This window comes from Homo sapiens, chromosome X (genome assembly GCF_000001405.40).
Source record: "Homo sapiens chromosome X, GRCh38.p14 Primary Assembly".
NCBI classification, from domain to species: Eukaryota; Metazoa; Chordata; class Mammalia; order Primates; family Hominidae; genus Homo; species Homo sapiens.
Window position 1 is genome coordinate 51,628,507 of NC_000023.11, and position 15,388 is coordinate 51,643,894.

Sequence of the window (15,388 nt, forward strand, 5' to 3'; positions counted from 1 at the left end):
TGCTCATCATCACTGGCCATCAGAGAAATGCAAATCAAAACCACAATGAGGTACCATCTCACACCAGTTAGAATGGTGATCATTAGAAATTCAGGAAACAACAAGTGCTGGAGAGGATGTGGAGAAATAGGAAAAATTTTACATGGTTGGTGGGACTGGAAACTAGTTCAACCATTGTGGAAGACAGTGTGGTGATTCCTCAAGGATCTAGAACTAGAAATACCATTTGACCCAGCCATGCCATTACTGGGTATATACCCAAAGGACTATAAATCATGCTGCTATAAAGACACATGCACACGTATATTTATTGCAGCACTATTCACAATAGCAAAGACCTGGAACCAACCCAAATATCCATCAATGATGGACTGGATTAAGAAAATGTGGCATATATACACCATGGAATACTATGCAGCCATAAAAAATGATGAGTTCATGTCCTTTGTAGGGACATGGATGAAGTTGGAAACCATCATTCTCAGCAAACTATCGCAAGGACAAAAAACCAATCACCGCATGTTCTCATAGGTGGGAACTGAACAATGAGAGCACTTGGACACAGGAAAGGGAACATCACACACCGGGACCTCTCGTAGGGTGGGGGGAGGGGGGAGGGATAGCATTAGGAGATATACCTAATGTAAATGACGAGTTAATGGGTGCAGCACACCAACATGGCACATGCATACATATGTAACAAACCTGCATGTTGTGCACATGTACCCTAGAACTTAAAGTATAACTAAAAAAAACCTCACTATTATTAATAAAACACTCTAGAATACTTATTTTAAAAAAAACTTTCTAGGGAAGAGGTGATAACTTCTTGATTGTTGTCATGGCAAGCGTAAACTGTGATGGCACTGGTGGGAGGGTCTTATGCTAATGAGTAGTGACGGCGGCTAGGGATTGCGCTCATCACCATCTACTGGTTCCTGCTAGTTTCTTTGCTTCATCCCGTCTGGAGCAGATCCTGTTTTGGTCCGCAGGGTTGTGACCAGAAAACAAGTCCTGTTGGTCTCCCACCTCAATCTGACGGATATTATTTTGACACAGTGTAAGTATCTTGTTCCTTTACAGCTTTTTTCCTTGTGGTTTTAGAATCTGTCAGTAATCTTTGACTGAACCAATTATTTCACTGTTGTTACGTTACAAAATGATACTTTTCTAATTCTAAATTCCCTTCTATTTTTATTAGCTGGTATTCACCCATAAAGACGAGCTTTTTCTCATCAACTGTGGATGGACTATTTTTTCTCCCTTAAAGGCAGGATACATGCTTTATTCTTTTACTTTAATTATCATTTTGCGGAATAAAGAGTTGGAGTAATAGAAATCTCCAATTATGAAACATTATTCTCCCTTTTTCTATCTTTCTCTCTCTTTCTCTGGGTATAACTTTGGATTCACGGATTTTTATTCATTTAATAATTTACAATCATCAAGTAAGTAATCGAATTATCCCAATTTTGGCCCATGGGATTTCTTTCAAACTGGTTCCTGTATCCTTTTGCATTTCTCCATTAATCTTTGAGCACTTCCTTGTTTCCTGGAACAACTAGATGCCCCAGTATCTCTTTGTAATTTTTACTTTTGCCATCTGATCCCTGGAATCACATATTTCTCCAAAGACCTCCGGTTCCTTTTAGCAGAGTATGATATTTAGAACCATACCTGGGCACATCATGACACATTATTTATTATCAAAATTTTTATTGAATAGTTGTAGACATGCATACTGTTGTAATATATAATACAGAGAGATCTCTTGTACCCTTTATCCAGTTTCCTCCAATAGAACCATTTTGCCAAACTATAGTAAGACAACTTGTATATTTGTATATTTTTATTGATAAAATCGACCAATTTTGTTCGAATTTCCCCAGTTTTAAATGTATTCATCTGTATGTGTGTATTTGTTCTGTGAAACATATATATGTGATATATATGTGATATAGAACAAATACACACATACAGATATAGAGATAAGTGTATTGCATGTATGTGTGCATATATATATATATATTTTATATATATATAATATATATATATTATATATATATTTTATATATATATATATATATATATGTAGGTTTTATAGGTTCATGTCCCATCATTACAATCAGTAACACCGGTACCACAAATCTGTCCAACATTTCCAATATTTTGTCATTTCCAAAATTTTATATAAATGAAATCAAACAGTAAGTAACTGTTTTGAATTGGCTTTTTTCTCTCAGAATTATACTCTGAGTATCATCCAAGTTGTTGAGTGTATTGATAGTTCATTCTTTTTTATTGTTGAGTGGTGTGTGTGTACTATAATTTGCTTAAACATTTACCTGTTTAAGGATATCTCCCAGATTTTTAGCTATGACAAATAAATATTCCACAGACATTTGTGTACAGGTTTCTGTGTGAACATAAGTCTTCATTTTGCTAAGATGAAGAACGCGATTGCTAGAGCATATAATAATTGCATATCTTGTTTTATAAGAAACTGCCAAACTATTTTTCAGAGTGACTGTACAATTATACATTCTCACCAGCAATGCACGAGTGATCCAATGTCTCCATATCCTCCCCAGCATTTTGTGTTGTCACTGATTTTTATTTTAGCAATTCTGATACGTATGTAGTGATATCTCATTATGATTTTAATTTGCATCTCTCTCATTGCTAATGGTGTTGGGCATCTTTTCAAGTATTTATATGCCATCTGTGCAGCCGTATGTCTTTGCCCATTTTCTAATTGGGTTTTTGTTGGCTTTTATTTGTTTATTTCACATTTTTACTGTTGAGTTTAAGAGTTATTTGTATTCTGAATAGTATTTCTTTGTTAGATATATGGCTTGTAAATATTTTCTTTTAGTCTGTATTTATTTTTTCATCCTCTTCACAATGGTCTGAGAACTTTTTGGTTCTGAATCACACAGATTTTCTCATGTTTTTTTTTTCTCAAAGTTTTAATGTGATTCACTTTCAGTTAATTATCATTATTATTACTTTTTTGAGACAGGGTCTGGCTCTGTCACCCAGACTGGAGGGCAGTCGCCCAATCTCTGCTCACTGCAACCTCGGCCTTCTGGGGCTCAAATGATTCTCCCACCTCAGCCACCCGAGTAGCTGGGATTACAGATGCGCCCTACCATGCCCTGCTAATTTTTGTATTTTTTATAGAGATGGGGTTTCACCGTATCGCCTAGGCTGGTCTCAAACTCCTGAGCTCAAGTGATCCACCCGCCTCAGCCTCTCAAATTGCTGGGATTACAGGCATGAGCCACTGCACCCAGCCCACTTTCAACTAATTTTTATATAAGGTGTTAGGTTTAGATCAAGCCTTTATTTTCTTACTTTCTGGTTTTTTTCCCCATAGGAATGTCCAATTTCCTTAGCACCATTTTATTGAAAAAGCTATCCTTTCTCCACTGAATTGCTCTTCCACCATTGTCAAAAATCAGTTGAGCATATTTGTGTCTGTCTATTTCTGGATTCTCTATTGTGTTTCATTGATCTGTGCAGCCATACCTGCCCCAATACCACACTGTCTTGACTACAGCCTTATTATCAGATAGGTAATTCCTCAAATTTTTGTTGTTTTTCAAGATTATTTAAGCTATTCTAGGACCTGTGTCTTTCCATACAAATTTTAGAATAAGCTTGTCTATGTCTGCAAGAACTTTGCTGGGATTTAGATAGGAACTACATTAAACCTATAGATCAGTTTGTGGAGAATTGACGCCTTTACTGTACTGAGCCTTCCAATCAACTAACACAGTGTACTTCACCATTTATTTACTTCTTCTTTGATTGTTTTCATCACTATATTGTAATAGTGTTCAGCACACAAATACTGTTCATGTTTTGTTAAATTCATACCTATGTTTCTTAGTCTACTTGGGCTGCCATAACAAAATCCCATAGCCTGGGTGGCTTAAACAATATAAATTTGTTTTCTCACAGTTCTAGAGACTGGAAATCAGAGATCATGGTGTCAGCATGGTCAGGTTCTGGTGAGGGCTCTCTTTCTGTGCTCAGATGACCTTTCTCAGAGAAAAGCAGGGAAAGAGAGTGAGAGAAAGAGAAAGAGAGAGAGATTCCTTCCTATTCCTATAAATCCACTAATCCTATCAAATTAGAAACCCATCATTATGACTCAGTTAACCTTAATTATCCCCTAAAGTCCTCATCTCTAAATATATTTACATTGGGGGTTAAGGCCTCAACAGATAAATTTGGTGGGGAGAGGACACAATTCAGTCCATAGCACTAAGTAGCTTGTTTTCTTTGCAGTAATTGTGAATGGTACTGTTTTTAATTTGCTTTCCTCATGTTCACTATTACTATAAAGAAATAGGATTAATTTTAATGTGTCGATCTTTTATCCTGTGACATGGCTAAACTCACTTACACTAAGTACTAGAATTTTTCTCTTGTATTAATACTAAGACTTTTTGGTAGACTCCTTGGAAATTTATACATAGACAATCATGTCATCTGCAAATAGAGATAATTTAATTTTTCCCCCAATTTGTATAACTTTTTAAAAATCTTGCTTTATTGCACCAACTGGACCTGGTATTATGTTGAGTAAAAGTGGTGAGATCATAAATCCTTGCCCTGTTCCCAATCTTAGGGGAAAACATTTAGTCTTTATCATTAAGTATATTAGCAGTTTTCTTGTAGATATTCTTTATAAAGTTTTGGAATTTGGGGCTTTTGACAAACTCTCTGTAACTATTGATAGGATTTTCCTTTTTCCGCTCTTTGATGTGTTGAATTACACTGACTGACTTTTGAATGTTGATCCAGGAGCCTCGAAACCCTGGAATAAATCCCACTTTATCATAGGCATAATTTTTTTATATTTTTGGGTTCATTTGGTTAGTGTTTGTTGAGGACCTTTGCATCTCAATTCATGAGAGATATTACTCTACAGTTTTCTCTTCGCATTGACTTTGTATGGTTTTAGTATCAGGGTAATACTGGCTTCATAAAATGTGTTGGGAGCTTTTCTTCCTTTTCTGTTTTCTCCAGGAAATTGTGTAAAATTGGTATTAGTTCTTCCTTTAAAGATTCATAATGTTCCAGTGAATATTTATTATAAGAAATTGAAGCAATCTGGCTTTGGAGATTTTTTTTTTATCAGGAGCTTTTATAGTAAAAGTTACTTCTTTTTTATTGTTAGGGCCCTTCAGATGATCAATTGCATACTGGTGAGTGTTGGTAATTTGTGTTTTTCAAGGAATTTGTCATAAATTATTTAATTATCATAATATCCATTAATTATACTCTTTGTATAGTTTTCAAAGTGGTTACTCTAGTCATTTTTTTTTATTATTTATTTATTTATTTATTTATTTATTTATTTATTTATTGAGACGGAGTTTCACTCTTGTTGCCCAGACTGGAGTGCAACGACGCGATCTCAGCTCAACGCAACCCCCGCCTCCCGGGTTCAAGCGATTCTGCTGTCTCAGCCTTCCCAGTAGCTGGGATTACAGGCATGCGCCACCACGCCTGGCTAATTTTGTATTTTTAGTAGAGACGGGGTTTCTCCATGTTGGTCAGGCTGGTCTCGAACTCCCGACCTCAGGTGATCTGCCCTCCTCGGCCTCCCAAAGTGCTGGGATTACAGGCATGAGCCACTGTGCCTGGCCTACTCTGATTATTTTAATATTTTCATGATCTGTAGTGATATTCCTATTTAATTACTGATACTGTTGATTTGTGTATTTTTTTCTTCTTTCGTTCAGTCTGCTAAAGGTTTATCAATGTTGGTGATTTTTTTTTTTGAAGAACCAACTTTTTGTTTCATTGATTTTCTCTATTATTGTCATGTTTTCAATTTCATTAATTTGTGTTCTTGTCTTCTTTTTTAATTATTATTTTTTTTTTTTGAGACAGAATCTCCCTCTGTCACCCAGGTTGGAGTGCAGTGGGTGTAATCTCGGCTCACTGCAACCTCTGCCTCCCAGGTTCAAGTGATTCTCCCGCCTCAGTTTCCCAAGTAGCTGGGATTACAGGCGCTCACCACCATGCCCAGCTAATTTTTGTATTTTTGGTAGAGACGGCGTTTCACCATGTTTGCAAGGCTGGTCTTGAATTCCTGACCTCAGGTGATCTACCCGCCTTGGCTTCCCAAAGTGCTGGGATTACAGGTGTGAGTCATCACCCCTGGCCGGTGTTCTTGTCTTTATTATTCCTTTCCTTCTGTCCATATTTTAAATTTTAGTTTTCTCTTGTTTTTCTACTTTCTTGATGTGAGACCTTAGGTTATTTTTAAAAACATTTTCTCATTCACTGCTGTAAATTTTCTCAGCATTTCTTTAGTTGCATCCTACATATATTGATATGTTGTCTTTTATTCTCATCAGTTGTATGTATTTTAATTTTAATTTTGAGACTTCTCTTTGACCCATTTATTACTTAGTAGTGTGTTAATTTCTACATATGTAGAGATATACCTGTTTTAAAAAATTGATTTGATGATTGATTCCTTTATGGTTGCCTTTTCACTCTGTTGATTGTTTCCTGGGTTTTTTTTTTTTTTTTGGCTATGATTTCTACTTCTTCTAGAAGTCTTAAAGTTTGGGGTCTTACGTTTAAGTCTTTAATTCATTTTGAGTTTATTTTTGTACATATTGTGAGATAAGATCCAATTTCATTCTTTTGCATGTGGATAGCTAGTTTTCCTAATACTGTTTTTTGATGAGACCGTCATTTTCCCATTGTGTATTCCTGGCACCGTTGTTGAAGATCACTTGACCATATAAGTCTGGTATTATTTTCGGGGTCTCTATTGTGTCCCTTTGGCTAATTTGTCTGTTTTTTATATGTCTGGTTTTGGGTTTCATTTTGTTTTGTTTTATTTTTGAGACAGGGTCTCACTCTGATGCCCAGACTAAAGTGCAGTGGCACAGTCACAGCTCACTACAGTCTCCACCTCCCAAGCTCAAGCTATCCTCCCACCTCAGCCTCCAGGGTAGCTGGGACCAAAGGTGCATGCCACCACACCTGGCTAATTTTTTTACTTTTTGTAAAGATGGGGTCTCCCTATGTTGCCTAGGCTGGTCTCGAACTCGTGGGCTCAAGTGATCGCCCCACCTTAGCCTCCCAAAGTGCTGGGATTACAGGCATGAGCGTCCACATCTGACCTATATGTCTGTTTTTATGCCAGTACCATACTATTTTGATTACTGTAGCTTTATAGTACACTATGAAATCAATTTTGTTTTTCCTTCTCCAGATTGATTTGGGTATTTATGGTCTTCTGTGGTTCCAGACGAAGTTTAGAATTATTTTTTCTATTCCCGTAAACAAACATGCCATTAGGATTTTGATAGGTTTACAATGAATCTGTAGATCACTCTGGGTATTAGGGATATTTTAACACTATTAAGTCTTCAGATCCATGAACACTTCCATTTGCTTGTTTCTTGTTTAATTTTCTTCATCAATATTTTGTAATTTTCTGTATACAAGTCTTTCACCTCCTTCAGTAAGTTTTTATCTATGTATTTTATTCTTTTTGGTGTTCTTGTAAATGAGTTTGTTTTCCTAGTTTCCTTTTTAGATAATTCGTTATTAGTGTATAGAAATGCAATTGATTTTTATATGTTGATTTGTATCCTGCAATTTTATTGAATACATTTATTCTAACAATTTTTAGAGGAATCTTTAGGGTTTTCTAAATATAAGATCATATTACCTGCAAAAGGGACAATTTTACTTTTTACTTTCTGATTTAGCTCCCTTGAATTATTATTATTATTTTTTGATTAATTGTTCTGAATAGGACTGCTGGTACTATGATGAATAGAAGTGGTGAAAGGGGCATCCTTGTCTTGTCCCTGATCTTAGAGGAAAAGCCTTCACTTTTTCACCATTAAGTATGATGTTAGCTCTGAGCTTTTCATATACAGCCTTTATTTGTTGAGATAATTTTCTTCTGGAACTCCCATAAGTCATATATTGGATTGCTTGATGGTGCTCTATGTTGGGAAAAAGTCTTATGGGGTGCCTGTATAAACTGGCCATAAAAACATGGAACAATAAGTTGTGGAAAGCCACAAGAGGCCTCTGAGGAGGAAAGCCTTCTTATCGCCATTATGTTCCCATGCTCTGAGCGAGACTTGGTCTCTTATCCATAAACATTGTGTTCAAGGAGAAAGACACTCCTTTGAAGCATTGGAATGTGGCCAGATGTGCAGGCTCCTAGTTAAGGCCGCTCCCACTAGCCACTCTCTGATAAGTTAAAGATATGCTGTTTGAGCACAAAGGAGATTCATTTAAACCGCTATTGCTATAGATTACGCCTATGACGCACTGCCTCCCTTTCACTGTTTCGCCCTGAACATCTGCTTCTTAGATTTAAGTGATCATACTCAATAAATAGTGTGGAGACTAGAACTCTGGGCCTTTTGCAGCCTCCATTTTGCAACTGGCCCCCTGGCTCCCACCTTTATGAACTCTTAACCTGTCTCTTATCATTCCTTTGTCGCCACCAGACTTTGGGTACCCTACTGGTGGTGTTGAGGCTGGTACCCAATAGCTCTATGTATCTCTTAAGCTTTCTTCACTTTTTCATTACTCTTCTGTCTCTGCTTAAGTTCCTGCTGGTACCACCTGGAAAAAAGAAGGTGCTTCCTTTTGCCTTCCAAGTATCATAAAGTGAGTTATGGGGAATCCAAAGCAATGGTGCAGAAAGTGTTTCCCCTGATTTTTTTTCCAGCCCCCCATAGCCAGCGAACTTTCCACTTTATCTCTGCCAGTGCAGACAGGAGTGGGCTGCCTTCCGCCATTGTGTGGAGGAGCAGGAGCCATGAGTCTGGGTGGAAGGTTAGGAGACCCCAGCCCAATTCACCTTCTGCCACTGGGTAAAGAGCCAGGAGACAACAGGCCTGGATTGTCTTAAGCCATTCGGTATAGGGCCAGGACCCACTGGATGTAGGTAGCGGTCTACCAATGGGTAGAAGATCAGGAGACACTGGACTTAGGCTGCCCTCTGCAGTTGGGTGGAGTGCTGGAAGACACCGGGCCAGCTGGCATTAGCATTTCAGGTAGAAAGGCTCATCTCTGGCCTCCTGGTATGGGGCAGAGAGTATGTTAACCTACCTGGGTCCCCCTGTTACTGCTGTGGGTAGGTCTGATCCTGTCATTGCTGCTGGCTGGTGTAGGTGTGGGGGATGGATTGGTCTTCTCTCCTGCAGCTTTGCTGGTGCAGCTACTCCCGGCAGATCAGCCAGCTGCTGCCACTGGATATGAATCTCCCTGCTAAGTTCCTGCTAAGCTTTCCCTTTCCTGAACCTTTGTTCAGAGAAAGCAGGCTTTTCTTTTGCATTTCTTTATTTGTTTATCTATTTTTGGTCTACCCTATTGGCAGTTTCTGGGTTGCACACCTCCCAGACACCCAGTTTGGGATACACGAGTGATATAAAGAAAACCTGGGGAGCTCATTATGGTGTCTTCTTCAAGTCCTGAGGCTCCTTTCCAGTCTACCTTCTTCCTATATTTGAGAATCTGTTAAATTATTTTCAAGATATTTAGTTGTATTTAGAGGGAAGGAACAGGGAAAAGTAAGCCTATGCCATTGTCCCAGAGCCAGACTAAAACCACTAAGTTTTGACATACTACAATCTAAATATCTTTATTTTTTTTCTCTCTAGGTTACATTTCTGGTTCCAGCTAAGAAAGGTGATGAAAAGTTGCTTTTTAGACAAAATAAGCCCTTACCCTCAAAGGAAAGTTGCTCCTGAAATACAAGCAGAAATCAGTGGTAAGTCATACAGCAAATATCTAAAGCATTTTAGGTATTTGTTTTTAGACCGTTGTCCAGGATCTGCTCTACTCACCTACAAGAAAGAAGGTGCTTCTTTTTGCCTTCCATTTTAGCCAATTGTCCAGGATCTGCTCTACTCACTCCAGAAAAATTGGAAACCAAGCTTCTACTAGTTCTCTAAGTATTATACTGGAGCTAGTAGATTTTTATTCAAACACTTAAAGTTTCAGGACATAGTAAGGCAAGAAACAGAGAACATAATAAAAATGTGTTGTTTATCTCAGTTGCAATGAGAATATCTAACACCCAGATAATTGTTTCTAAGTATCATTTCTTAATGAAAGGAGCCAGGGGTCCTTGGACAAACCATTGATTCCAGGGATAAAGTATGGAAAGCATAGGTTAATGTGGAACATCTTAACGGGACAGAAAGTAAGGCAGCACTCAAAAAATTACATAGACTTGTCAAAAGGATATAGAACCAGCTTGAATGGGGCTCACATTGCTTAAACCTAGGAAATTTGAGCTTTAGAATAAATAATTATAACAATGAGTTATAAAAAAATTGAATAAAATAAGAATCCATTAATCTGTACTAAAAGTAAATAAAGGAAAAGCTCTTCGTTACAGTAGAATCCCATCCAATAAATGTAGAAGAAATGATGCTGTTAGAAAAACACCATTTTATAACTATCATGTAATAATTGTCTAGGACAAGAGTCATTAATGAATACTAAAATTAGTGTATGGAAGCTTTGTGATTAATGGGATAGTTACACGTTCTCAACACCTCTCCCACAAAACAGGTAATAATTACAAAGGAAAAATAATTTGCATTGGAGTAAGCTGGCAGACACCACTTTAACCACGTGATCAGGTTGCCAGAATCAATATTGGGACAATCCATATCATATGCTGGCCTTTATGATGTAACGAGAAAGACGTGTGGCGCTCCTGCCATATATGTCTAACTTACATAGAATCATGAGAAAACAATCAGCTAAGCCCCAAATGAAGGACACCCTACAATATCATTAGCCCGAACTAGCAGGCGTGATGTAGCCCAAACTACAAGGCATGATGCTGAAATGGACCTTTCATTAGGAGAAAAATCCTATAAAAGGCATTATTAGAAAAATTGGTGAAGTTCATTTAAACTCTGTAACCTAGATATTGTCATCAATGCAAATTTTCTTATTTTGATAACTATATTTATTCTTAGGAACCATAATGAATTATTTAGGAGTAAGACATAAAGTCTGCAACTTATTCTCAAATGGTTCAGAAAAAAAAGTTACATGTGTGCTTATTTGTGTGTATATATGTGTGTATAGAGAGAGAGGGAGCAAGAAAGGGAGAGATAACATGATAAATCAGATGGTAAAATGTTAACAACTAAGGAATTTGAGTGAAGGAGTAAAGGGTAAATGTGAATTTCTTGTACTATCCTTGTAACATTTCTTTTTTCTTTTTCTTTTTCTATTTTGAGATGGAGTCTCACTCTATCACCCAGCCTGGAGTGCAGTGGCGCGATCTCAGCTCAACACAACCTCTGCCTCCTGGGTTCAAGCCATTCTCCTGCCTCAGCCTCTGGAGTAGCTGGGATTACAGGTGTGTGACACCATGCCCGGCTAACTTTTGTATTTTGAGTAGAGATGGGGTTTCACCATGTTGGCCAGGCTGGTTTTGAACTCCTGACCTTGTGATCCACTCGCCTCGGCCTCCCAAAGTGCTGGGATTGCAGGTGTGAGCCACCGCGCCCGGCCCCTTGTAACATTTCTATGTTTGAAGTCACGTCAACATAGAAAGTTCAGAATTTTTTTTCTAATCATACATCACAGACTGCCTGGATGGGAGCATATGTGTATACACACACACACACACACACACAGAGAGAGAGAGAGAGAGAGAGAGAGGAGTTTCAGGTAATTTTCATGCTGGAACAATGAATTCCAACTTGGTGATGCTATGCCAAGTAAACAGTAATGTCTGAAACTTTTGAACACAGATTTCAAACCAATTAGCTCCAAACCTATGTACACATAAATTCAAATAATAACATCACCATCTTTGAGTACTTATAATATACTTGGCACTGTTTTAAATGCCTAAAATGAATTATCTTAGTCCTTACAAGACCATTATGAGGTATCCTCTGACATGAGATAGTTGATATTATTTTCCTAATTCCACAATAGAAGAAGCAGAAGCACTTGCTGAGGCATCTCAGATAATGTGTTGAAGGTCATGTTGCCAGAAAGGGGTGTGGTGGGATTTGAACCCAGGTGGCCTGACACTGTGCCTGTGATCTTTAACTTAAACTAAGCACATGGTGCCCTAATAGTTTTGAAGTGGGGTGAGACACGTAAACCCATATCCTTTGCGATCTGCTACAGGGGCCAGGTAAGAAACCTGTTCCTTGAATGCCCCAGGCTGTATCTGGCCCACAGGACCTCATCATGCATGCTGTTCCTCTGTCTGGACAACTCTTCACACACCTTCAACTCAGTTAACTGCCACTCACTTTTCACATCTGAACTTACTGGTCAGTCACTTGGGGAGACTGTACCCCCTAAACAAGATTATAGTTTCCTGCCACATGCCGTCAGAGCCCACTGAATTCTGCCTGTCACACAACATATTCATCACAGTCGAAGATTATTTACTTGTCTGCCTCCCCCAGCAGACTGTGAATTCTCTGAAATCAGGGTTCATGCTTGCCTTGCTCAGCCCTGAAGCCCCAGATCCCCACTGCACAGAAGTGTGAGGCCCACAGATCTGAGAGGTGAAATCAGGGAGTTAGTATGGGAATACTGGGGTATATAGGAGTAATTCATCAACATCCTTTTTCTATTAATTCAAGTCAGGCTAAAACGGATGAAAAGGATTTACGTTTTCCTGGAATGGAAAATGATAGAGGATAAGATTAATTAGCCTGAATGAATCAAGATCGCATTCACTATTAGGGAAGGGTAAGCGAGAACAGACTGTGAGGGCAAGATGTTTATGGGAAATGTTTTCTTATTCTTAAAAACAAAAACAAAAACAAAAAAACTGCACTAAAGGGAAAACCAGCGACTCTTATTCTGTTGGACCCTATTGTGCCTGGATATGGTATCTGAAACTGTTACTATAGATGAAAGTATCATAAGTGAGATATCAACCAGATGCCAAGGACTTTCTTCCTGTGCCATATGGAGAAAAGAATCCGCTGCCTGCTGACTTCTGATCCTCCTCCCAGATTCTCATCCGTGCCTTTTGGTGTCCGCAAAAGATTCAAAACTACACAGAGCTATGTTTGTTCCTACGAAGTTCCACTGGAGGGCGCAATATCATTACTGTTACCAGCTAATAGAACGTAACCTGTTAGGGCTAACATGAATAATTTACAGCGCATTTTTATAAGCTCTCTTAGTATAGGCCACCCAAGAGAGAAAACAGTTTTGTGCCTTAGATGAAAGGACAACACAGGAAATTATAACAATGGTAACAATCCTTTTCTTCATCATCCCCCAGGAGTCCTGGTTGCTTCCTCTGCAAATCGGTGATGGCTTATACAAAGAACAGTATTAAAGACTCCGCGGCTGGACGCGGTGGGTCGCGCCTGTAATCCCAGCACTTTGGGAGACCGAGGTGAGTGGATCGCCTGAGGTCAGGAGTTCAAGACCAGCCTGGCCAACATGGTGAAACCCCGACTCTGCTAAAAATACAAAAAATTACCCCGGGGCGTGGTGGCAGACAACTGTAATCCCAGCTACTCGAGAGGCTGAGGCAGGAGAATAGCTTGAACCCAGGAGGCGGAGGTTGCACTGAGCCGAGATCACGCCACTGCACTCCAGCCTGGGCAACAAGAACAAAACTCCATCTCAATAAATAAATAAATAAATAAAGATTCTGCTAACCTGTGGCGGGTCTGTTTGGGTCCCTGTGTATTCTTTCCTAGGAAAAGCATGAGGATTAGGGTTGGGCCATAGGGTCTCATTCCTCCAAGAGTAATGGAACACCAGCTGCAGCAGCTCCAGTCTGTAGCAAGGGTTCAGAACTTGTCCATGACAAGGTCTCAAAACCCATCTTTCAAGAAAAGCCAGGCTTGGCCCGTGGCTCTGCCTGCCCATACATTATTATCATCTGCCAAATACAATATAGTAGTTGATCAGGGGACAACTTCCAGGAAAACACAGCTGCAAGTCTCTCTGATATTTCATGGTTCTTCACCACTAGAGAGTCCCAGAGGTGAAAGCTCTGAGGCAGGCTTCCCCACTTTCCAGGTAACTGCTATTTCTGGGAACTTTTAGTATACCCCACCTAGTGTACAGGAACACAAAGGGAAGCTGCTACTTTGAGCAAAGCATCCCTGTGTGTGGGCCTCTGATGTAGCTGTCGCTTTCTAATATGTCTGGTGTGATTACGTGTATTCATTATTCTACTTTACAATAACCAGTATAAAACAGTATGCTTTCTTTTGCTTCACTCTGACCTTGGACAAGTCACTCACCCTCTTTGAGTCAGCTTTCTTATTTTATAGTGCGTGGAAATGTCACCTATCTCACAGTCTACTGGAATTTGCCACAGTACCTACACATTTGTAATAGTCATATTTTTTTCTTTCAACAATATATTTCAGGTATCAACTGTATGCAAGACATTATTCTATGCACTTGAGATACAGCAGCAAACAAGAAAGACAAGATCCCCATGCCCATGTAGCATACATTCTAAGGGGCAGAAAGACAGACACAGTTTAAATATATATATATATTTCAGACATTGATAAATGTTATGCAGAAAGTGAAGTCAGATAGCGGGATAGAATGTGAGAAGGCATGAAAGGAGCTGCTTGAGATAGAATGTCCTTTAAAGACCTGTCCAAAGATGTGACACTGAATGATAAGGATCCAGTATGTGAAAACTTGGGAGATCCATGTTTCAGCAAGCATAATGGTCCTGAAGTGATTTGATTGGCATGTTTTAGGGACTAAAAGAATTTCAGGCTGGCTGGAGAATGTTGGATGAGAGGAAGACTTGTAGGAGATGAAGTTGGAAAGGTAATGAGTGGCCAGTTCACATAGTAGTGTGAAGACATTTGAATTGTATTTCATTTTCAGTGCATTGAGGAATCACTGGAAGAGTTTGAAACAACAGAAGGATGTGATTTGACTTTCATTCTAAGAATCTCATGAATGGATGAAAATGAAGGATCAAAACTATTTTCTGAAAATACTAAAACAGGATTGGCCATTTCCATTGTTGTTATTTGCACTAATGGTACAAAAGCAATGATGGGTAAAACCGCTAGGGTCAGCACAAATCAAGGCAGTGGCATCAAACTACACCACACTACTGTACTAGTTGTCGAATTCCTCATTGCCACATGAAAAGAAACATACACACACACCCCATACATGCATATATATGTAGTCAAATCTCAACCCTTGAGTACACATCTTTTTAATATTCTTGAGGATGAACAAAAAAGTGAAAATGTACTGGTAAAGACCTTCTGTTCAGTACCAAAGCCAGATGATTGTCTCAAGGAAAAGAAATTGTGTGATTATTTGAGTTGCTAGCTTAACCAGGGGTCCCCAGCTCCCAGGTGGGGGACTG

At 38.8% G+C, this 15,388-nt stretch overlaps 1 long non-coding RNA gene across 1 annotated transcript; it reads left to right on the plus strand.

Moving 5' to 3' along the window:
- The first annotated feature begins 952 nt into the window (after positions 1–952).
- LOC105373205 (uncharacterized) lies at positions 953–13,448 on the plus strand. The gene is made up of 3 exons (XR_938381.2): positions 953–1,060; positions 9,672–9,781; positions 13,301–13,448. It is a non-coding gene; the product is annotated as an uncharacterized LOC105373205 (long non-coding RNA).
- The last annotated feature ends 1,940 nt before the right edge of the window (positions 13,449–15,388 follow it).